The sequence below is a fragment of the Homo sapiens genome, chromosome 8 (genome assembly GCF_000001405.40).
Source record: "Homo sapiens chromosome 8, GRCh38.p14 Primary Assembly".
NCBI classification, from domain to species: domain Eukaryota; kingdom Metazoa; phylum Chordata; class Mammalia; order Primates; family Hominidae; genus Homo; species Homo sapiens.
The window spans coordinates 1609268-1634189 of record NC_000008.11 but is presented as its reverse complement, the minus strand read 5'-3'; the positions used below and the strand labels follow the sequence as shown (position 1 = coordinate 1634189).

The following is a 24922-nucleotide window of genomic DNA, read 5'->3' as shown; positions in this document are numbered from 1 at the left end:
GAATACCGCAGAAACCAAGAGTCAGAAACGTTAACAAGCCTAAGTTCTTGCAGCGAGGACATGATGGAACACGGTTTGAACACAGTTCCTTCCCTTCCATCCACAGACTCTACTATGAAATACTTTCTACACAAAGTGCAATGATAGTGCCGACTGCAATTTCTAATTCTGCAAAGTGCAATCTCCTGGATTTCTTGTTCACTTTAGCATTGAAACAAACCAAGACCTATTCACAGGTATGATGACACACTCCTGCCTGAATTTCTCTTTGCTTCTCTCCTGTTATGTGTCTGCTGTTCCTAATGCTATTCATCATGAACATAGCTTTGTTCTATTTCCCCTCGGAGCTGTCCTTTAAATTTCTAAGATACAGCTGCAGCATTCCAAGCCCTCTGGTATTCAGAACACCTCAGTCCCCAACACTATGTTTTTTTATAGCTCCTTTCCTTAACCTCTATGTGCGGCGCCTCGAGCTTTTATTGCTTGCTGTGTTTTATGGGTTTCTCTAGGCCATGTGTATTCATCGTGTTATAGAAATAATAACATATTAGGCAGTAAAATATTAGGCAGTGATATTTAGGTTGGGCGGTAAATTTTCAAAGGGGTGGGTATGGTTTTCCATGAGAACTAAAGGAAATTGCGAGACTGAGTCTTCGGAGCTCTAAGATAGTTAGTGCATCTGCATTAATGATGGACCTGCTTAGCGGCGGTGAGTCATGTTTACAGATCTGCTTACTGAGCAAGAGACCGGCTGGACGTCACTACAGGGCAGCCTGAGAGTCACTGCGCATCAGCAGAAATCTCACTGCAATCCATTAAACTTTGGTATTTAAAACTTAATCACCTTCCAAATGCTAGCACTTCCATTTCTTTCTCCTCTCTAAAACTTTACACAAGTTACACTTGATTATTTTAAGGAAACTTGCTAATGAGTAGATTTCATTCTAAGAAAAAGAAAGGTTATCTACAAGAGACAAAACACCCTTGCGAATGTGACAGTGTAACACATGCAATTAGGAAACGTTACTAGATGTCAGGAGAGTACATTGTACTGTGGTGCTGTGTGCTGCTCGCTCCTTCTAGGATGAAGACAGGTATGCCTCTAGAGTCCCCGCTGGAAGGCTGAAAATGGCGTCCCCTTACCTGCTGTTGACCTGATGGTGGAGGTGATGTCAGAGGGTGTCATCATGGGAATACATTCGTCATCTTGGGAGTAGCCGGCTTGAATGGCTCGAAGGTAGCTGTGACTCCTTGTTCGGAAACATCCCGGGAGGTCGAGGGCATCCATGGCCTGAGATTCAACTTCACTGAAGACGGACTCGCACACGGACTCGAATTGCCCATTGATCTCCGCCTCGCTCACCTGCAATCATCAACAGCACACGTGATGCCCCGGCCCTCCAGGGTCACCATCACGTTACAGAAAAGCCAGGAGAGCGCGCTCATTCCCAGGCTGCCTTTCACTGCCTCATAGTTCAGCACAGTTAACCTGAAGTCAGCATGGGCATCGGCTGAGCTTGGGAAATACAGCATTGGGTTTTCCCTTACGAAACACTTAGGCAAACAGCCAATTCCAAGTGTTGATGAAATTCTGGGGGACCGCAAGGCAAACCTTCAAGGTAAGGCTGACAGTTATTACAAAGTGTAAGAGAGATAGAACTTTTAAAAGATTAGCAAAGTACCTGGTACAAAGGAAGGGTTCAGAATCCATTTCTTCCTTCCCTTTCCCACATGACGGCCCCCCCTTTCCAAGCTACTAATGGCACGATGGCTCCAGGCACTGAGGCCGTATAAGGGAAAGCACATTCAGTGCATACACTACTCAGTTCTTTTTCAGAATATGGAGTCTGCTTCTACCCATTGCCATGGCAACTCATCACAAATTTGGCTTCTAAACTCATCTCCTTATCCCCATTACGGCAGCATATATCTGAGTCCAGATGAGAAAGAAATGGCTGTACTGGTGTTTTCGTCCACATGAAATGTGCTACTTTACCTAAATTCCAGGCTTTTTTTATTCTTCCTTAGCTTAGGATATTAGTATACTCACTTCATTTTCCCCTCCCTCCCATCCTCCCTCCCTTCCATCCTTCCTCCCCTGTCTCTCTTTCTCCCCTCACCCCCTCCCATTCAGATTATTTCTCTTCTTGTTTCTCCTGGGGATGTGTGACAGCTCAAAGCACCAACAGCTTTCTGAACCCCCTGGATTATGTTGGCAGATACATTGTAAAAATACACTGTTTTAAACACCAGATTAGTTCTTTTCCTTTAGTTGTCAGCAGAGTAAAAGGCAAGGTCAAAGAATCAGGTTCTCCCTCTAGCAGTTGTGTTGTTGACACAACACGACACTGGTTGCCTGTCTCCAAGTTCAGACCTGTGGACTTCTCTGGTTTCACCTGAGGTGACCTACGTGCTGGAAGGACGGCCTCTTTCCTCGTGAGCCTAACTCAGCATGGACCCTGGAGAGGCAGGGGGTGAGCAAAGGGCAGCAAAGCCTGAAGCCACCCTGCAGGGAAGACAGACCCATGCCAGGCTGCAGAAAGAGTTGGCACAATGCCGGCGGGGTGGCCTTTTTCAGAAAGGTCTGAGGATTCCTGACACTGGACAGAGACAGACAAACCCAGGCAGGCACAACCAGGACACAGCCGGCAGGATGGCCTCAGGAACCCAGCAAAGGGCTCAGAAGCATGCACACTGGCTTGGAAACAGGATGTTTTTCTGGACCATAAATTTCTTCCAATGTAAGTTTTCACTTATGTAGAATTTTATGGAAAAGTCTTAGATTGTGTCATTCCTGTCAAAGATGTATCGTAGACAGCGTGAGAAGGTCAGAACCTGTGTGAGGCCCTAGTACACCTCAGTGGACACCCTTCTGTAAGCCCGACCCAGGGCCCAGCTGCCCTCGCTCCTAAAGAAGAGACACCATTAACCTGGTATGTGCATTTCACAAACAGAAGCTGGCATCTCAGCAAGGACCCTCGGCTATGCTTCCAGCTACAAGCCTTTCAGTGAGGTTCTAGACATGAAGGTGACTCCTCCTCCCCAAAACAAATAAAAAGTGGTTGAGCAGCATCTCAAGATGGTCCAGCAGGGAATTAAAATGATCTGTTCACCCGGACCTCCCGCCCAGACCCTTGGGGCACCCGGACCTCCCGCCCAGACCCTCGGGACACCCGGACCTCCCGCCGAGACCCTCGGGACACCCGGACCTCCCGCCGAGACCCTCGGGACACTGGGACCTCCCGCCGAGACCCTCGGGACACCCGGACCTCCCGCCCAGACCCTCGGGACACCCGGACCTCCCGCCGAGACCCTCGGGACATGAGCTGCAGGAAACCCAAGCAGAGTGCAGCTACTGAGGTTCCAAGGAGGAAACGGCATGGACATAAGCACCTCTCACAAGACTTCAGTTAGATTTTTAATTCCCTTCCTGTGCTTGAGAAAAAATTGAATGTTAAACATGAAGGGCAAACTTTTTTTTTTTTTTCGAGATGGAGTCTCGCTCTGTCGCCCAGGCTGGAGTGCAGTGGCGTGATCTCGGCTCACTGCAAGCTCCACCTCCCGGATTCACGCCATTCTCCTGCCTCGGCCTCCCGAGTAGCTGGGACCACAGGTGCCCGCTACCATGCCCAGCTAATTTTTTGTATTTTTAGTAGAGACGAGGTTTCACCATGTTAGCCAGGATGGTCTCGATCTCCTGACCTCGTGATCCACCCACCTCGGCCTCCCAAAGTGCTGGGATTACAGGCGTGAGCCACCGCGACTGGCCAAGGGCAAACTTTCAACAAACTTTGGTTTGTCACCAAATTCACATCTCTCCAGAGCCCCTAAGTGTTAGTAATTCCAGATGTCCCACCCTCAACCATGGGCACTGTCCCCTTCCTTCCAGAATTGTCAGGTCTCGTGGCCTAGGGCTGGACAATCAATTAGTGGAAGTTTGTTTCTGGGTGTGACACAGTCTTCTCACCTACTACGTTTGTTTCTGGGTGTGATACAGTCTCACTTACTACCAGCATTCCAGGATTATTTTGAATAACACTTTTTTTTTTCCTGAGAATTCAAAACTGAGTTCAATTTAAAGTAATGCCATAGAACTCTGCATAGGAATGACTTAGAATTCTAAATTTCAAGGTCGTTAAATAAACCCCCAAGCACCCAACTTGTCTGCTTAACCATTGTTTCCAATGATGAATCCTTTCAGATAGACAAAGATGTGAGAAAATGTTATTTTCACTGACTTATTTTGGTAGATACCATCTTGGGTTCATCAAAAGCAAGATGACGAGAGAACTAGTATATTTAGCTTACATTTACCCCCAAACAGGACGACGAGTCGCAAAGAGCCTCTGAATGTTTCATAAGAGCATTTAAAGAGGTGTGAGATCCATTTAATTGAAAGTTGTTTGTGGAAAAGTATTAGAGATGAACGTTCACACCTCGGATGAGATAACTTTGCACTTCTGTTTAAACCTTTTGTTGGGTTACATCGGATTTTTAAAGCTGTATTTTGGTAAACTAGGTTATATCCACTGAAAGGGAAGGTGATAGCTTTAAAAGAAGAAAGTCTGCTGTATCCTCATCTCTGTGTATGGAGCAAGTTGTTAAAATGTATCACTGACTTTCAGTTACTCTGTTTAGTTAATTAGTGTCTCCCCATATCATCTTGGACTTTATGCTGAAATAGAATGTTTCCTCAGTTATTAAAATAATTACAATTATCTAGTTGGGGAGGATCAGTTGATGTTATTGTTTGCAGGGGGCTGGCTGGGAGCAGGGGGCTGGAGGACCCACCATTCCCATTTGCCCAGGACTTGAGCGCAGGGCTAGGGACGGTCTTTCCTTGTCATTGGGAAAAAGAGTCAATGCAATTCCTGATGCAGATGAGAACTTAATTCCATTTCTGGAAGGAAAGAAGTAACCGAGTAGATAAAAGAGGTGGTATCCTTCTTGAGTTGTGCAATAGGAAAAGCCTCAATAGTTCAGTGGAAAAAGTCCTGGGTACAACCTTCCGATGAGGAAAAAACCTGCAAAATGAATAGACTCTACCTCATGAGGAATTTAAAGTCTGCGGCAAAAGAAAGACTTGTGCTTACTGAGCCCCAGGCAAGCTACCAAGAGCTCACAGCATGATCTGCAGCCAGGAGGGCTTTAGTGCCCAGAATTATATAGTATTACTTATTGTTATCATGGTAATAATAAGGGCTATCATTTTTGAGTGCTCAGTATATGCTGGACTCTTTGCCTAATAGCATCTAAAATTGACTGTGTACTTCCATTGTCACGCCGATAACTGCATAATGGGAGGGCACAGAAAGCCCAGGCCTTGGCCCAGAAGCCCAGAATAATCCCTACTCCACAGTAAGTCAGAGAGAATGTGAGGTCGGCTCAGGCTCTTAATCCCTGCGCTCAGGCTCTTAATCCCTGCTCCACAGTAAGTCAGAGAGAATGTGAGGTCAGCTCAGGCTCTTAATTCCTGCTCCACAGTAAGTCAGAGAGAATGTGAGGTCAGCTCAGGCTCTTAATTCCTGCTCCACAGTAAGTCAGACAGAATGTGAGGTCGGCTCAAGCTCTTAATTCCTGCTCCACAGTAAGTCAGAGAGAATGTGAGGTCGGCTCAAGCTCTTAATCCCTGCTCCACAGTAAGTCAGACAGAATGTGAGGTCAGCTCAGGCTCTTAATTCCTGCTCCACAGTAAGTCAGAGAGAATGTGAGGTCAGCTCAGGCTCTTAATTCCTGCTCCACAGTAAGTCAGACAGAATGTGAGGTCGGCTCAAGCTCTTAATTCCTGCTCCACAGTAAGTCAGAGAGAATGTGAGGTTGGCTCAAGCTCTTAATCCCTGCTCCACAGTAAGTCAGAGAGAATGTGAGCTCGGCTCAAGCTCTTAATTCCTGCTCCACAGTAAGTCAGAGAGAATGTGAGGTCAGCTCAGGCTCTTAATCCCTGCTCCACAGTAAGTCAGAAAGAATGTGAGGTCAGCTCAGGCTCTTAATTCCTGCTCCACAGTAAGTCAGAGAGAATGTGAGGTCAGCTCAGGCTCTTAATTCCTGCTCCACAGTAAGTCAGACAGAATGTGAGGTCGGCTCAAGCTCTTAATTCCTGCTCCACAGTAAGTCAGAGAGAATGTGAGGTTGGCTCAAGCTCTTAATCCCTGCTCCACAGTAAGTCAGACAGAATGTGAGGTCGGCTCAAGCTCTTAATCCCTGCTCCACAGTAAGTCAGAGAGAATGTGAGGTCAGCTCAGGCTCTTAATCCCTGCTCCACAGTAAGTCAGAAAGAATGTGAGGTCGGCTCAAGCTCTTAATTCCTGCTCCACAGTAAGTCAGACAGAATGTGAGGTCGGCTCAGGCTCTTAATCCCTGCTCCACAGTAAGTCAGAGAGAATGTGAGGTCGGCTCAGGCTCTTAATCCCTGCTCCACAGTAAGTCAGAGAGAATGTGAGGTCGGCTCAAGATCTTAATCCCTACTCCACAGTAAGTCAGAGAGAATGTGAGGTCGGCTCAGGCTCTTAATCCCTACTCCACACTAAGAGAAAATGTTTGTTAGGTATACAAACTCAAGGTCAGCTCAAGCACTGTTTTCAAAGGCATTTAAGTGAGTAAGCAACGTGCTTAATTAAAATGATAAACTTTCGATTCTTCTTTGCCATGTAATATAGGATGATTAGACTGAAGGACACTTGCCGATTTTTTCACTGTGCGTTCTCAGGCCCGTCCACCACAGGTGGGGAGCAGGGGGGCCTCCCTTTCACAGCCCCCGTGTCTCAGGCACCTGATTTTAATACCACCCCTCCCGTGGTGCCCAGGGACCCTTCTCCTGGCCACTGTGCCTGTCCCGAAATCAGTCCTGCCCTGGGAGTGGGGCCGACCGGCAGGACTCTGTGAGCGACACCAGGCTATCCTCTCACAGGACTTTCTGAGGCACAATTCAGAGGACAGAGCTGAGAGCCATGCTGCCAGAGCCTTTCCCTGGCCCCCTTTTACTGGAAAAATAGCCTGGGAAGAAGGAAGACAGCCTGTGCTTTATCAACAAGAGAGGCCAGGATGACCACCCTTTTGGTCATTGCTTCCTCAGAAAAAAATCAACGCAAAAATGATATGGAGTTATACACGTCAAAAATATAACAGTAAGTCCACGAGTCTAATCAGCCAGAGCTAATTCCAGGGGAACCCCCTTTGGTGTAGCCTTGCCCAAGTGCTGCTGACCAGGAGGGCAGCGCCATCGCCACCTATGCGGCCGGGGCCTCCGTGCCAGCCTGGCTGGGGAGACTGGACCCCAGGGAGAAAGGGCGAAGGGACCCTGACCTGGCTCACGCAGCTGGCCTGGCTCAGGGTGCTGACGGCCCTCATGTAGCTCTGGTTCCGGGAGCGGAATTTCGGGGAGTTGTAGTTCGCAGCGGGGTCCAGGCTGTGTCCCACAGGCACATCGCTTGCAGCTTGCAGGTAGGTCTGGCTACAGGAAAGAAGAAAGGAGAAAAGGCATTCTGTGAGCACCCGCTGCAGGGCAGAGGTGGGAATGACCATCCAACCCACACCCAGAGGCTGAGCACCCACCACAGGGCAGAGGTGGGAACGACCGTCCAACCCACACCCAGAGGCTGAGCACCTGCTGCAGGGTAGAGATGGGAACAGCCGTCCAACCCACACCCAGAGGCTGAGCACCTGCTGCAGGGTAGAGATGGGAACGACCGTCCAACCCACACCCAGAGGCTGAGCACCCACCACAGGGTACAGATGGGAACAGCCGTCCAACCCACACCCAGAGGGTGAGCACCCGCTGCAGGGTAGAGATGGGAACAGCCGTCCAACCCACACCCAGAGGCTGAGCACCTGCTGCAGGGTAGAGATGGGAACAGCCGTCCAACCCACACCCAGAGGCTGAGCACCCACCACAGGGCAGAGATGGGAACAGCCGTCCAACCCACACCCAGAGGGTGAGCACCCGCTGCAGGGTAGAGATGGGAACAGCCGTCCAACCCACACCCAGAGGCTGAGCACCCGCCACAGGGTAGAGATGGGAACAGCCGTCCAACCCACACCCAGAGGCTGAGCACCCGCCACAGGGCAGAGGTGGGAACAGCCGTCCAACCCACACCCAGAGGCTGAGCACCCGCCACAGGCCAGAGATGGGAAAGCCATCCAACCCACACCCAGAGGCTGAGCACCCGCCACAGGGTAGAGATGGGAACAGCCGTCCAACCCACACCCAGAGGCTGAGCACCCGCCACAGGCCAGAGATGGGAACGACCGTCCAATCCACACCCAGAGGCTAGCATCACATTTCCAACTGAATGTCTGTGTCTTGATGAGTAACTTTGCCATATGCAAATATTCTGAGATTCATATTTATGAATGTGAATTTCATCAAAAGTAATAGGGGAGGCTATTTACAAAATTGCCTTTGAAACCTGAGATTTTATGGCCAGGTAGTGAAATTTGGGTCATTCCATATTTTTAAAAAAGTGCTGTAAGCACTAGTAACTCACACAGCATAATAGCAAACTCAGCTCCTGAATTTAAGCCAAAAAACTGAGAGTCTCATAAAAATTATTGGCTCTCTGGCAACTTTACATATTTAAAAAATAACAGAAAAAATACAAGGCTCACTTTCAGTTTTAACTTATGCAAAGTTGTCCAGGTTATGCAATATCAGCAAATATAATAGGAGGAGTAGGCTAAATGAAAACCATTTTATAAGCACAACGGTCGTTTTCTTCCAAACTCCCTTAAAATAAATCAATGTTCTCTGGTCTTCCTTCTCGCCGTTTTGTGAAATGTTAAAAGCATGGAAGAACCCTGTGAGTGTTTGGCCGATGAAAGGTCTGGCTTAGCTTAAACTTCTGGCTAACTGGACCACTTTCCAGTTTTATTGACAATCTTTCCACAGTGCAGTAAAATTCATTTTATTTTATCAAAAGCTGTAGAAATGTGGACAGAAATGATTAATTATTCTTCTTGCCTGTTTTGGATGATAATAGGAACATTAAATATCAGTGCACAAGCAGGTACATAAAAATGTCTATAGATGTTAGGTGGACGATTCTGACTCCAGAGTTGGGCATTAAAGCACACACTTTCTTTTCAAAGTAAACCCTTGGTGTGGTTTTTCTCTGATTTACTTCAGTCTTTAAAAATGGAATATCAGAGAAAAAAAACTGGACTCAATGAATTCTTATTAAGTGAAGCTTATTCATTATAGATTTAAAGTCATTCTTTCTGCTAAATATTTTTGCTTTAAAAGAAAATGTATAACATATAGCAGCTCCTACCTACCTTCCCCTCCCTGACTTAGACCAAAAAAAGGAAAGAGAGAGAGAGAGAGACAGAGAGAGAGAGAGAGAGAGAGAAAGCAAAGGGAGGAAATTAGTTTTGAGCTGATTCTAATTTTACTGGGTATGAAGCACACAGTCTTCACATCGATGCCCGCCGACTCCCGCTGCACCTGGGCAGTGGGACGGGCAGCTCTGCTGCAGATGTGGGGACCGGCACCAGCACCAGCAGGGGCCCTGTCCCCTCCCCTCCTCTGTGGATCCCCCAGGTCGACTGCCAGTGAACAGAAGGCGAGCTAACACGGATCCCTGACCTTGGCTGTCACCACCCTGAAAGCATGGGTTCAACAGAGCGGCAAAATGTCAACAGCATCCTGAGACACGGTCACAAGTTTCAGGCTCAGGTTGATGGATGCGTGGACTCATTCTGTAAGAGACCACTGCTGGCTTCCTTTGAATGTGTCCACGTGCCTGTGCGTGTTTAATACAGAGTCATGTGCAGCGGACGAAGCCCCGAGCTATGGAGCCCGAGCAGTGTGGCCTCAGGTGGATGCCAAGAGCCCTGACTGAGGCTCTTAACTTGACTCACCTTTGTCTTTGCAGAAATGTAAACTTCCCGCACTTCTGCTCTCCTTCCATGCTTCCTTGAGATTGCTGGTTTCATACCCTCCATTTCTACCAATCGGCACTTTCTACCAATTACCAATTTTCTTCCAATACAACAGCCGTTCCTTCTGATTAACACCACCGTTTTGCATTTTAACATTCTCAAATTGAAGCTGCCTTCTAGACTGAGAAAACATAAAAGAAGGATTCTCGTCCTCTGGATCTGGTGTCCACAGTTTCTAACCAGTGCCTGCTACGTGAACGAAGGGATCACCTCTGAGCCATGGCTCATCACTCTGGCAGTGGCTGCTGGACAGCCCTCACAGGTGGATCCATGTATTTTGTGAGTCTATGTTTCAAATACATATTCTCTCAATGATTCTCTTTATTTCAAAATGGAGTGTGACACATAAATGTTGCCGCTGAAGAAAGCTAATAATTTTTTTTAAAACATAGACTCACAATAGCTAACATTTTCTATGCAAGATTACGCCAGAAATGCTAATAAGTGTTTTGCATTGTCCTAACACATTTAATGTTTACATTAGTCCTATAAACCAGGCCTCTTCCCAACCTTCCTCCTATGAATGCAGCATCAGACGCACATTGCTGCAAGGTCATTGTGCACTGGTGCCAGGTCATCACACACTGGTGTCAGGTCATCACACACTGGTGCCAGGTCATGGCACACTGGGGCCACGTCATCGCACACTGGTGCCAGGTCATCACACACTGGTGTCAGGTCATCACGCACTGGTGCCAGGTTATCACGCACTGGTGTCAGGTCATGACGCACTGGTGTCAGGTCATCACGCACTGGTGCCAGGTCATCGTGCACTGGTGTCAGGTCATTGCGCGCTGGTGTCAGGTCATGATGCACTGGTGTCAGGTCATCAAGCACTGGTGCCAGGTCATCACACACTGGTGTCAGGTCATCACGCACTGGTTCCAGGTCATCACGCACAGGTCTTCACACACTGGTGCCAGGTCATCACACACTGGTGCCAGGTCATGCACTCAGGCTTGGGCGGGATGGGGGCAGCACTCCCTTCTGAGTCCAGGTGGCCTGGCTCTGGAATTCATGCTTTAAAATCCCAAGGTCACTGGGATTTTAAGCACTCAAGATGCTGAGTCATAGGACCACAGAGCCAAAGATCCCATCCTCTGATACCACAGACTTTTTAAATAGTTAAAAAATAACAAATAAAACCTCAGCCTCATTTGGCTTAAGAGGCTTTTTAAAAAATATTATAATGGCTTAGCATTTTATCATATAGAGTCCCAGAAGGCCAGGTTCCTCACAGTCACAGATCAAAACTCAAGAACTAGGACTAGGGGGAGCCAATCAAGATGGGGGGATGCACCCTCCGGTGGCCCCGCCAGGTGACACAGGGTGAAGTCCCCAGCACGGCTCACTCCACAAAATCCACCTGACTCTTCCCCCTGAAAATCCCCCTCCTACATCCCGGGGCATTTTGAAGTTGACTTTCAGCCCCTTTGGTTATCTCTCTAAGTGGTAATTCCTGCGGCATCCCAGGTGTCAGAAATGGAAACATATTTTGCTATATGGACTTAGTAGCTCAGAATTTTTTTTTAAATAGTGAAAAGTTTTCTAGAATAACACAGAAATGTTTTTGTTCTAGTTTTGCCTTTCAGATGTTGCTCCCCTTAGATTGTCATCCACAAACAGGCGAGACGGAAAGCTGTGCAAGTGAATCCATAACCCCAAGACAGAACTGCAGGATTCCTGGTGTTCAACCTTGTTCTCGCCCTTTGCGAATGGTTCCAGAGCTGCTTGCTGAATCCTGGGCTCAGAACCTCCTCTGTGACTTAGGTCATTATGAGAACGAATATACATAACAAAGGGTACCCCTGAAAGGGCCTCTGACCCCAGCTGTTTAGATCCATCTAAACATGCTTGAAAATACACAACGTAAACCATCTCCCTTGTTACCTTGGAAAGCAGTAAGGATTCTATGCAGGTTGTGCTAAGGAGATATTTAAGAAAATTTTTTTCCATACTAAATGTGTTCATTTGAAATACAGAGATCATCTTCTCATTTCTATAAATGGGATCTGACAGGAGAAGCTCCCAAATATAAGAAGTGTTTCTTCCACTGCATTCAATGGAAAATGGAGCACGCTAAACAGTGCTAGTGAAACAGACATTCGTGTGCACACGCGTGCGTGTGCTGTGCGTGCACATGTGTGTATTATTCCACCTGCAAAATGGAAATTCTTAGAACACCTTTCAGTATACATTTCAAATAATATCACAATTAATGACTGGATTTCAGAAAATGGCTTCTTTCCAGATCATTTCCACATTCAGGGTAAAAAGTGTTCTTGAGCTTTCTGTGCCCTTGCAGGAGATGAAGGCATGCTTGTTCCCTAACAGCACATTTTTGAGGGAAATCCACATTTGCATCTCACTGTTGGCACCCACATCTGGGATGCCCCCACAGCTGCCCCGACAACCCATCTCTGGGCTCTTGACTGCAGAGGCTCGGAAACGCCATACCCTTGACCGCAGAGGCTCGGAAACGCCATACCCTTGACCGCAGAGGCTCGGAAATGCGATACCCTTGACCGCAGAGGCTCGGAAATGCCATACCCTTGCTTGGCTGCCCTCCTGGTGCTGACGGTGCCTCCGAGATGTGACCCCGCTCCAGCTGGTGAGTCTATGGAGCACCTGCTCAGTGGCTTCTGAGCAGAGTCCGGCCTTCTCCATACTGATGACTGCTCTTCCTGGAGCCCGTGGCAGGTGGGGCTGCAATGGCTGACCCACGGCCAGCTGAGAGTGAGAGCCAGCATGCTCAGATGCATGACGCTGGCTTGGGTCCCAACGGGGCTGACCCCAACCCGGTGTGGACAACCTCTTCTGGCTCTCCTCTGCCCTGGTCCCAGTGCAGCTAACAGTGACCCAGCCATGACAACCTCCTTTGCCCTGGTCCTCGTGTAGCTGACCCCAACCCAGTGTGGACAACCTCCTCTGGCTCTCCTCTGCCCTGGTCCCAGTGCAGCTGACCCTGACCCAGCCGGACCAACCACCTCCGGCTCTCGTCCACTTGGCTCTACCCGTCCTTTGCTATAACCAGGACTGGGCAGGTTTGAAGGATGTGCCACCAAAGGCTTCCCAAACAGAACACGAGGAGAAGGCATCTTAATAAGGCACCTCCCACGTAAGTCTGGGTGCTTGGAAGTGCAAGAAAGGCCTTCTGCAAGATGGCAAGCGTAGCACTCGTGTAGTTGACAGTGTGTTGGGGACAAAGACTGGAACATAGATTTCTTAATGCAAAATGCTAAAAGGAAATGTAGAGTGTGTGCCAGCTGGGAGGCGGGGAGTGAGCATTGTTTGTCTGGAGAGCAGAGGGTAAAGGGGGAAAGGCATTCTGGGAGAGAAGTTTGGGGAAGCAGAGTGGGAAACTGTGAGGGACACCCCAGACAGCTTGATGTTTATGCCACAGGCAAAAGAAAAGTACTGCAAGTTCTTAATCAGGGACTTGTGAGCTGGGAGCTCAGGACGGTCCCTGTGCGTGGGGCCTGGAGGACGAGGTGCCTGAATGCAGGAAGTGGTGTCCTGGACACAGACCCCGAGAGGCTCCTGCAGACTTGAGCTGGTTTCTCATGAGACACCAAAGGGCTTGGATTTTAGGGACAGAGCCCACAGGAATGAGGAATGTGTTAGAGGTGAGATGATTCCAAGGCGCCTAGACTTCTCCCAACAAAGGCAAGATCTATGATAGGAAGAAAAACAGGTTTTGGAGGTTGGACCTGAGTTTGATTTGGACCTGCTGATTCTAGGGCACTTCCAAGAAGTCTGTGAAAGAACAGAGCAAGTGTGACGGGCAGGGCTGTGAACCTCTGAGTGCTTCAGATGTAAAAGTGTGGAAGACGTCGGGCTGTGAGTGTCACGCAGCAGAAAGGTGGAGGAGGCCTCTCAGGTGAGGCGGGGCCACGAAGGGAATCCAGGAGGAAAGTGAGAGGGGCGTGGGGCGGGGGACGCTCCTGGGCACCCGAGGGACAGGAGGAGCCCGGCCCCGGAGCAGATGCTGAGAAATCAAGTGGAATGAGATGGGGAAAGACCGTCAGATGCAGCAAGCTGGGGTCATTTTTAAAAAGGACAGTTTCAGTGGATATGGGTGCAGAAATGAGATCGCAGACGTTAAGGTAAGAAAATGGAAGTATGAGTGGAACTTTTGAACAACTTGTCAGGAACAGCAGAGAGGACAGGCGATTTGAGAAAGGCTGTGAGTTTTCTTGGATGGGGGGATGAAGCAACGTGAACATTTATTTTTAGAAGGTGAAAATAAGACACCATGGGAAAGACACTCAAAGAGGCGGGCCTGGGATCATTTTTCCTGTCTACAGGAAACGCTATGCTGAGGCCAACAGTGTGCTTGGCCGTGAAATGTGCTTTACAGGTCGGAAGTAACATGGTGCGCAGAAGGCAGTTTGTATGCACAGTGGAGCACATGTGTTGATGCCTGAAAGCCCACATTGAGATCCTGGCTCAACCTCTCGCCAACGGTGTCATTTGGACAAATCTCTTAATCTATGCAACGTACAATGAGGACAGTAGTCACAGGACATAACTTATGGAGTTCTGTGAATATAAGGTAAGAATGTTACATGCAATACAAGTATAATACATGGTGAGCACTTACTTAATGTTAACACATACTATGTTTAACTTGTCCTTGCAAGACCTGTATTGTGACTCGAGATTTTAGCATTTGGTAGATGTCTCAGAAACAACTGGTCTGAAGAAAATATTTCAACTGTTTAAATTTTTCTTAAAAGAACAAGGTAAACTTACCAAAAAATTTATTTTTCTTTCTTACATAGAAATGAAACAGAAAAATATATACCCATTAAATTGTATTAATTGAGAGAAAATTGATAGACAGTGAAAGGCACAGGTCTCACTTGTAGGACTCAGTGAGTTTTGACAGATGTTGACTGTGGCCTCCACCCGTATCCTCTTGGGCATGTTGTATTGTCATTCTTTTTAACTTAGGCCATTCTAGTGAAATTGAAGTGTATCCCAATAAAGTTTTCACTTTCACCTCCTGGATGACTAATTCTTATTGGACATTTGTGTATCTTCTTTTGCAAAGTAACCTTTTGGCTTTTATGCCCATTTTTCTGGGGTTGTCTTTACGTTCTTGTTTTGTAGGAGTTCTTGACATATTCTGCATTCAAGCCCTTTGTCAGACAGACATTTCCCTTATTCTATGGCTTGCCTTTCCATTTTCTTAGTTGTGTCTTTTAATGAACAGAATTTAAAGATTTTGACGGCTGGAGTCTCTATTCTGTCACACGGATCTATTTTGTCTATTTGAGTAGTTCTTAATCTGGGGCGATTAGGCCCTCAAGGGACATCTGGTGATGTATGGAGATATTTTGAGTTTGCCACAATTTAGAGGAGGGTGCTACTCGTGTCTACTGGACAGGTGCCAGAGATGCCATGAAAAGATCCTACAGTGCACAGAGGGCCCCCAACAAGAGAGAATCGTCTGGCCCCAAATATCAAGAATGCTGAAGGTGCACGGAGATCCCCCCAATGAGAGACAATTGTCTGGCCCCAAATATCAAGAGTGCTGAGGCTGAGAGACCCTTTTCTATTCTTATATGAATATCACACTGTCCCGATTAGATTTAACGCAAGTCTTGAAATCAGATAGCGTGAGTCCTCCAACTGTGTTCTTTTTTATCAAGACTGTCTTGGCACTTCTAGGTTCTTCACATTTTCACACATTTTAGAATCTTCTTGTCAGTTTCTCTAAAAACTGAGGTTGCTTTGAATGACATTGATTCTACTGAGGTTGCACTGAATCCATACCTCAGTCTGGGGAGATTTCACATCTTCACATTACTGAGACTTCCAATGCATCACAGTCTAGCTCTCGATTTATTTAGATGGTCTATCTTAGAGCACCACAATTCTACAATGCTGTTGAGATGTTTAAAACTAACTGCATTTTCCAATTATTCATTATGGGTCTACAGAAATGCAATTGATTTCTACCTATTTCATTCATGTCCTAGCCTTGATGAATGGCATGATCTGTTCCAGGATTTGATTTGTAGTTTCCTTAGGTTTTCTATGTAAACAATCATGTGATATAAGAATAAACCTGGAACCTAAACATGGAAGGAGCTCCTTCCTTTTAAATTTCGTGCTTTTTCTCTTCTTGTTTGCCTTCTGTGTCTGGCGAGGACCTCCATTAGAATGTTAAGTAGAGGAGCTGAGAGTCGGCATCCTCGTGTTTTATCTCATCTTACGGAGGGAGTTAAATGTTGCACCCTTAATGTTGACATTTTTTCCCCAGGGTTAGAACTGTAGCCTTTTACTTACTTATTCCACTTACTTTAGTACACGTATTATTATGACTGGGTTGAAGCCTACCATTTTACTGTTGTTTTCCATATGTCCTATTCATATACTTGTTCCTCTGATTTCTTTTTGCTTTCTTTTGGGTTAATCAAATATTTTTAACATTGAGCTTTAGCTCGTATTGGCTGTAATGCATAGCGTTAATATTTGAGTGGTTGCTCTAGAGGTGCGCTGTCCATTATGGTAGATAATGGGATCTAATTAAACTTAAGAGCTTCTGCACAGCAAAAGAAACTATCGACAGAGTAAACAGAAAACGTACAAAATGGGAGAAAATATTTCCAAACTATGCATCCAACAAAGGTCTAATACCCAGCATCTATAAGGAACTTAAACAAATTTGCAAGCAAAAAACAATGTGGGCAAAGAACATGAACAGACACTTTTCAAACGAAGACATACATGTGGCCAACAAGCACATGAAAAAATGCTCAACATCATGGATCATTAAAGAAATGCAAATCAAAACCCCAATAAGATAGTATCTCACACCCATCAGAATGGCTATTACTAAAAAGTGGACAAACAACAGATGCTGTGAGGCTGTGAAGAAAAGGGAATGCTCATACACTGCTGGTGGGAGCATAAATTAGTTCAACCATTGGGGAAAGCAGAGTGGCAAATCCTCAAAGAACTAAAAACAGAACTACCATCTGACCCAGCAATCCCATTATTGTGTATACACACAAAGGAAGAGAACTCATTCTACCATTAAAACACATGCACATTCATTGCAGCACTATTCACTATAGCAAAAACATGGAATCAACCTAAATGCCCATCAATGGTAGACAGATAAAGAAAATGTGGTGCATGTACACCGTGGAATACTATGCAGCCATAAAAAAGAATGAGATCATGTCCTTTGCAGCAACATGGATGGAGCTGGAGGCCATTATCCTTAGCAAACTAACACAGGGACAGAAAACCAAATACTGCATGTTCTCCCTTATAAGTGGGAGCTAAGTGATGAGAACACATGGACACAGAGAGGAAAACTACACATACTGGGGCCTCCTGGAGGTTAGAAGGAGGGAGAGGATCAGAAAAAAATACCTATTAGGTGCAATGCTTATTACCTGGATGACGAAATAATCTGTACACCAAACCCCACATGACGTGAGTTTACCTAAATCACAAATCTGTGCATGTACCCCTGAAACTAAATGAAAGATAAAAAAGTAGCCACATGTGGATACATGTATTTAAGTTAAAAATAGATTCCTTAGCTTCTGTTTGAAAAGTCTTTATTTTGCTCTCATTTTTTAAAAGATATTTTTGCTGGGTATAGTATTCTGAATCAATAGATGTTTTTGATCACTTTAAAGGTATGATTCCATTGTCTTCTGGCTCCCATTGCTTCTGACAATAAGGCAGTCATAATTTTCTAATTATTCCTCTGGTTTCTGTTTGACCCCTTCCTTGGTTGCTTTACAGACTTGTCTCTCTCTGGTTTTCCACAGTTTAACTATTTTGTGGCTAGGTATGATTTTTTTCTATTTATCTTCTTAGAGTTCACTGAGCATTTTGGGTCTGTGGATTCTTTCAAACCAAATTTGTAAAATATTTGGCCATTTTTTCTTCAAAACCTTCTGCCAAATTCTCTCAGTTTTCTCCCTGGTTCTCTAATTATATGTGTGTCCCTTCACTTCTTCTTACTACACATATTACTGAGGCTCTATTCTTTTTTTTAATATCTTACCTCTACTTTTTCATATTTGAGAATATCTACTGTTTCATTTTCAAATTACTAAGCTTTTTTCCTGCTCTCTCAATTCGCTCTTAAACACATCCCATAAATTTTTCATTTCAGATATTGTGGTTTTCTGTTCTTGAAAATTCAATTTGTCTCTTTCTCATGGATTTCATTTCTCCATCTAGTCAGGCATTAAGACCTTCTTCTCCTTTAACATCTTTAACCTTGTAACAGACATTTTTATATCATTCATAAGACCTTACAACGGCTGCTTTAAAGATCTTTGTGGTGAGTTCTAACATTTTTATATCATTCATAAGACCTTACAATGGCTGTTTAAAGATCTTTCTGGTGAGTTCTAACATTTTTATATCATTCATAAGACCTTACAATGGCTGCTTTAAAGATCTTTCTGGTGAATTCTAATATTTTTATGTCATTCATAAGACCTTACAATGGCTGCTTTAAAGATCTTTCCGGTGAGTTCTAACATTTTTATATCATTCATAAGACCTTACAATGGCTGTTTAAAGATCTTTCCGGTGAGTTCTAACATTTTTATATCATTCATAAGACTACAATGGCTGTTTAAAGATCTTTCCGGTGAATTCTAACATTTTTGTATCATTCATAAGACCTTACAATGGCTGCTTTAAAGATCTTTCCGGTGAGTTCTAACATTTTTATATCATTCATAAGACCTTACAATGGCTGTTTAAAGATCTTTCTGGTGAGTTCTACCATCGGGGTCTTCTCAGGCTTCGTTTTGAGCACATCAGTTTTTTCCTTGCAGGTGGGTTTCATGTTGCTACAACTTCAGCCTCTTTTCGGCATAAAGGACACGACTGGCAGAGACCCCGGCACCTGCTCCCTCCTCCAATGTGTGCTAATTTTGGTTGTGGCCGATCCTCCTTAGCTTTGGGTGTTTGGCTCGTGCGTTGCTGGGGTGGGCCTGGGGAGGCTGCAGATGGTTTACCTGGCCTGTGCACTTGGTGGGGTTCAGCCTCCAGACTGATCTTCACCATCGGTGGTCAGCAGCTGGAAACTAAACTTTTTCAGGGGTCCGCAAATGTTAATAGACTTTGGGGTCTCCCTCCATGGCTCCATCCCTTCTGTTCTGACCCCCACCTCTTCTGGCAACCCCAAATTCCATCCTGTAACAGACACATCCAAGGAGACTGCAGCTGTCTGCTTCAGTTCCTACCGCCCTCCTGCAGCAGGTAGCGAGGGTGCTCAGAGGGAACTCACAGGACCATGGGCAGCCGCGAGTGAGCGCGGCGCCTTTCCTTTAAAATGTGAATAGTCTCTACTTCCTGCCCAACTCTGCTTTCAAACAGGAGGGCATGCGTGTGTGTGTGTGCGTGTGCACGTGTGTGCACGTGCAATGCATGTGTGTGTGGGCTCCACAGTTCATGGCTGTCATCTGTATGAGTGTTTCTTCAATATAAGTTATTATCCCAGAGCCAGAACTCCCCATTATTACATTTTAAAAAATCGTGTCGCCAGGGTGAGCAACTGTCCTTGGCTTGGCCAACCTGCATATCAGTTCTGCTGCTGTAGTTGTTGGTTTGGGGAGCCCAGCACTGCAGAGGCAGAGGCTGTGCCACAGGGGGCTCCGCCTGGGAGGTCTCCTTTCCCAGAGTCCCCGGAGCTCGTGTGGGCACAAGGTCGTCCGGTAAGTCATGTTTTCTGCACACCTGGAGGTGATGCTGGCAACACAAAGCGGGGTCCAAGCCGTCAATGGCAGCTGCGGCAGAGGCCACCTCCAGTCCGCCGGGTGTCTGTGGTCATATTCCAACCTCGGCACCCCTTGTCCTGCCTGTGGTACCAGCAGCACTGACTGTGAGGTCTCTGCCAATGTGGCTGGTAATTCCGTGTTCACTGAGTCAGTTCTGAGGTGAGATTCACCCTCTGGCTGCAGAGGCCCCACGGCTGTTCTCTTGCCTGACTGCAAATGCTCAGGAGACCCCAGGTCTGTGCCATCCGTTTTTTTTCTGCCTGTGAAGAGTTGATTTCTCCATCTGCTGAAGGTGCTGGTGGGGTTTGTGAAGGATCCCATGAGAAGTATGTGATGATCCACCATGTCCCCTGGGCTACGAGGGCTCAGTCACCGCTGAAGCCAGGGCATACACTTGCAGTGAACCAGCCTCCCCCACCTGGCTCTTCCAAAGGCCTCCTGAGGCCCATTTTCGCTGAAAACCCCGCCGAGTCTGAGACCTGTCAGGTCACGCATTGCAAAGCCTGGCCTTACTGTTCATATTTGTACCGGGAATAGTTGATAGAGCTAGAATGGAAGGTAGCAATTTAGTCCTTTGGCATTCAACATTTTTGAGGCTTATTTTTAAAAAATTCAATTTGCTAATCTTTCTCTATGATTTTTCCAAAAAGAATACAGAGGAGGCCAGTGTGAGTGAACTGAACATGCAGGGTGGACATGAATTCAGAATGGAGACCTACATCTGTCCGAAGCAGTACAGAACAGGTTCTCGAAAAAGGGCTTTACTGCTGCTGTTAAACTACTCTCCCAAAATATGTTAATTTAGAAAATGAGTTACTCATCTATCAAATACTTTCTGGGCATCATTTATGAAGGCATCGCCCTTGTCCTCATGGAGCTGGGTGCGCAGTGCATAAATTTCAGTTGAAGTCAATTTTCTTTTCTTTTCTTTTTTTTTTTTTATTATACTTTAAGTTTTAGGGTACATGTGCACATTGTGCAGGTTAGTTACATATGTATACATGTGCCATGCTGGTGCGCTGCACCCACTAACTCGTCATCTAGCCTTAGGTATATCTCCCAATTCTATCCCTCCCCGCTCCCCCCACCCCACCACAGTCCCCAGAGTGTGATGTTCCCCTTCCTGTGTCCACGTGTTCTAATTGTTCAGTTCCCACCTATGAGTGAGAATATGCGGTGTTTGGTTTTTTGTTCTTGCAATAGTTTACTGAGAATGATGATTTCCAATTTCATCCATGTCCCTACAAAGGACATGAACTCATCATTTTTTATGGCTGCATAGTATTCCATGGTGTATATGTGCCACATTTTCTTAATCCAGTCTATCATTGTTGGACATTTGGCTTGGTTCCAAGTCTTTGCTATTGTGAATAATGCCGCAATAAACATACGTGTGCATGTGTCTTTATAGCAGCATGATTTATAGTCCTTTGGGTATATACCCAGTAATGGGATGGCTGGGTCAAATGGTATTTCTAGTTCTAGATCCCTGAGGAATCGCCACACTGACTTCCACAATGGTTGAACTAGTTTACAGTCCCACCAATAGTGTAAAAGTGTTCCTATTTCTCCACATCCTCTCCAGCACCTGTTGTTTCCTGACTTTTTAATGATTGCCATTCTAACTGGTGTGAGATGATATCTCATAGTGGTTTTGATTTGCATTTCTCTGATGGCCAGTGATGATGAGCATTTTTTCATGTGTTTTTTGGCTGCATAAATGTCTTCTTTTGAGAAGTGTCTGTTCATGTCCTTCTCCCACTTTTTGATGGGGTTGTTTGTTTTTTTCTTGTAAATTTGTTTGAGTTCATTGTAGATTCTGGATATTAGCCCTTTGTCAGATGAGTAGGTTGCGAAAATTTTCTCCCATGTTGTAGGTTGCCTGTTCACTCTGATGGTAGTTTCTTTTGCTGTTCAGAAGCTCTTTAGTTTAATTAGATCCCATTTGTCAATTTTGGCTTTGGTTGCCATTGCTTTTGGTGTTCTGGACATGAAGTCCTTGCCCATGCCTATGTCCTGAATGGTAATGCCTAGGTTTTCTTCTAGGGTTTTTATGGTTTTAGGTCTAACGTTTAAATCTTTAATCCATCTTGAATTGATTTTTGTATAAGGTGTAAGGAAGGGATCCAGTTTCAGCTTTCTCCATATGGCTAGCCAGTTTTCCCAGCACCATTTATTAAATAGGGAATCCTTTCCCCATTGCTTGTTTTTCTCAGGTTTGTCAAAGATCAGATAGTTGTAGGTATGCGGTGTTATTTCTGAGGGCTCTGTTCTGTTCCATTGATCTATATCTCTGTTTTGGTACCAGTACCATGCTGTTTTGGTTACTGTAGCCTTGTAGTATAGTTTGAAGTCAGGTAGTGTGATGCCTCCAGCTTTGTTCTTTTGGCTTAGGATTGACTTGGTGATGCGGGCTCTTTTTTGGTTCCATATGAACTTTAAAGTAGTTTTTTCCAATTCTGTGAAGAAAGTCATTGGTAGCTTGATGGGGATGGCATTGAATCTGTAAATTACCTTGGGCAGTATGGCCATTTTCACGATATTGATTCTTCCTACCCATGAGCATGGAATGTTCTTCCATTTGTTTGTATCCTCTTTTATTTCCTTGAGCAGTGGTTTGTAGTTCTCCTTGAAGAGGTCCTTCACATCCCTTGTAAGTTGGATTCCTAGGTATTTTATTCTCTTTGAAGCAATTGTGAATGGGAGTTCACTCATGATTTGGCTCTCTGTTTGTCTGTTGCTGGTGTATAAGAATGCTTGTGATTTTTGTACATTGATTTTGTATCCTGAGACTTTGCTGAAGTTGCTTATCAGCTTAAGGAGATTTTGGGCTGAGACGATGGGGTTTTCTAGATAAACAATCATGTCATCTGCAAACAGGGACAATTTGACTTCCTCTTTTCCTAATTGAATACCCTTTATTTCCTTCTCCTGCCTGATTGTCCTGGCCAGAACTTCCAACACTATGTTGAATAGGAGCGGTGAGAGAGGGCATCCCTGTCTTGTGCCAGTTTTCAAAGGGAATGCTTCCAGTTTTTGCCCATTCAGTATGATATTGGCTGTGGGTTTGTCATAGATAGCTCTTATTATTTTGAAATACGTCCCATCAATACCTAATTTATTGAGAGTTTTTAGCATGAAGGGTTGTTGAATTTTGTCAAAGGCTTTTTCTGCATCTATTGAGATAATCATGTGGTTTTTGTCTTTGGCTCTGTTTATATGCTGGATTACATTTATTGATTTGCGTATATTGAACCAGCCTTGCATCCCAGGGAAGAAGCCCACTTGATCATGGTGGATAAGCTTTTTGATGTGCTGCTGGATTCGGTTTGCCAGTATTTTATTGAGGATTTTTGCATCGATGTTCATCAAGGATATTGGTCTAAAATTCTCTTTTTTGGTTGTGTCTCTGCCCGGCTTTGGTATCAGAATGATGCTGGCCTCATAAAATGAGTTAGGGAGGATTTCCTCTTTTTCTATTGATTGGAATAGTTTCAGAAGGAATGGTACCAGTTCCTCCTTGTACCTCTGGTAGAATTCGGCTGTGAATCCATCTTGTCCTGGACTCTTTTTGGTTGGTAAACTATTGATTATTGCCACAATTTCAGCTCCTGTTATTGGTCTATTCAGAGATTCAACTTCTTCCTGGTTTAGTCTTGGGACAGTGTATGTGTCGAGCAATTTATTAATTTCTTCTAGATTTTCTAGTTTATTTGCGTAGAGGTGTTTGTAGTATTCTCTGATGGTAGTTTGTATTTCTGTGGGATCGGTGGTGATATCCCCTTTATCATTTTTTATTGTGTCTATTTGATTCTTCTCTCTTTTTTTCTTTATTAGTCTTGCTAGCGGTCTATCAATTTTGTTGATCCTTTCAAAAAACCAGCTCCTGGATTCATTGATTTTTTGAAGGGTTTTTTGTGTCTCTATTTCCTTCAGTTCTGCTCTGATTTTAGTTATTTCTTGCCTTCTGCTAGCTTTTGAATGTGTTTGCTCTTGCTTTTCTAGTTCTTTTAATTGTGATGTTAGGGTGTCAATTTTGGATCTTTCCTGCTTTCTCTTGTGGGCATTCAGTGCTATAAATTTCCCTCTACACACTGCTTTGAATGCGTCCCAGAGATTCTGGTTTGTTGTGTCTTTGTTCTCGTTGGTTTCAAAGAACATCTTTATTTCTGCCTTCATTTCGTTATGTACCCAGTAGTCATTCAGGAGCAGGTTGTTTAGTTTCCATGTAGTTGAGCAGTTTTGAGTGAGATTCTTAATCCTGAGTTCTAGTTTCATTGCACTGTGGTCTGAGAGATAGTTTGTTATAATTTCTGTTCTTTCACATTTGCTGAGGAGAGCTTTACTTCCAACTATGTGGTCAATTTTGGAATAGGTGTGGTGTGGTGCTGAAAAAAATGTATATTCTGTTGATTTGGGGTGGAGAGTTCTGTAGATGTCTATTAGGTCCGCTTGGTACAGAGCTGAGTTCAATTCCTGGGTATCCTTGTTAACTTTCTGTCTCGTTGATCTGTCTAATGTTGACAGTGGGGTGTTAAAGTCTCCCATTATTAATGTGTGGGAGTCTAAGTCTCTTTGTAGGTCACTCAGGACTTGCTTTATGAATCTGGGTGCTCCCGTATTGGGTGCATATATATTTAGGATAGTTAGCTCCTCTTGTTGAATTGATCCCTTTACCATTATGTAATGGCCTTCTTTGTCTCTTTTGATCTTTGTTGGTTTAAAGTCTGTTTTATCAGAGACTAGGATTGCAACCCCTGCCTTTTTTTGTTTTCCATTTGCTTGGTAGATCTTCCTCCATCCTTTTATTTTGAGCCTATGTGTGTCTCTGCACGTGAGATGGGTTTCCTGAATACAGCACACTGATGGGTCTTGACTCTTTATCCAACTTGCCAGTCTGTGTCTTTTAATTGGAGCATTTAGTCCATTTACATTTAAAGTTAATATTATGTGTGAATTTGATCCTGTCATTATGTTGTTAGCTGGTGATTTTGCTCGTTAGTTGATGCAGTTTCTTCCTAGTCTCGATGGTCTTTACATTTTGGCATGATTTTGCAGCAGCTGGTACCGGTCGTTCCTTTCCATGTTTAGCGCTTCCTTCAGGAGCTCTTTTAGGGCAGGCCTGGTGGTGACAAAATCTCTCAGCATTTGCTTGTCTGTAAAGTATTTTATTTCTCCTTCACTTATGAAGCTTAGTTTGGCTGGATATGAAATTC

General features: G+C 45.0%; 1 protein-coding gene and 1 long non-coding RNA gene across 2 annotated transcripts in view, besides 2 other annotated features; one reads left to right on the top strand and one right to left on the bottom strand.

The window, feature by feature from the left end:
- Positions 1-24922, bottom strand: part of DLGAP2 (DLG associated protein 2) — a 970849-nt gene that overhangs the window by 74287 nt on the left and 871640 nt on the right. Inside the window, exons 7-8 of the mRNA NM_001346810.2 lie at positions 7303-7450; positions 1144-1363 (exon numbers count right to left, since the gene is read on the bottom strand). Coding sequence (NP_001333739.1) covers positions 1144-1363; positions 7303-7450 — 368 coding nt within the window. The remainder of the gene's footprint in view (positions 1-1143; positions 1364-7302; positions 7451-24922) is intronic.
- Positions 549-1748: an enhancer, noted in NCBI's record as "BRD4-independent group 4 enhancer chr8:1580608-1581807 (GRCh37/hg19 assembly coordinates)". NCBI's record gives its function as "activates an origin of replication core promoter dependent on BRD2, P300/CBP, MED14 and CDK7 cofactors, and independent of BRD4, by STARR-seq in HCT116 cells {active_cell/tissue: HCT116}" and the evidence as "EXISTENCE:reporter gene assay evidence [ECO:0000049][PMID:35650434]".
- Positions 6733-7704: an enhancer, noted in NCBI's record as "H3K4me1 hESC enhancer chr8:1574652-1575623 (GRCh37/hg19 assembly coordinates)". NCBI's record gives its function as "activates a minimal SCP1, AML or CMV promoter by ChIP-STARR-seq in naive H9 embryonic stem cells {active_cell/tissue: H9 hESC(naive)}" and the evidence as "EXISTENCE:reporter gene assay evidence [ECO:0000049][PMID:30033119]".
- DLGAP2-AS1 (DLGAP2 antisense RNA 1) overlaps positions 12526-24922 on the top strand; it is a 56156-nt gene continuing 43759 nt past the window's right edge. Inside the window, exons 1-3 of the long non-coding RNA NR_103863.1 lie at positions 12526-12547; positions 13677-13816; positions 14297-14491. This is a non-coding gene — a long non-coding RNA (DLGAP2 antisense RNA 1). The remainder of the gene's footprint in view (positions 12548-13676; positions 13817-14296; positions 14492-24922) is intronic.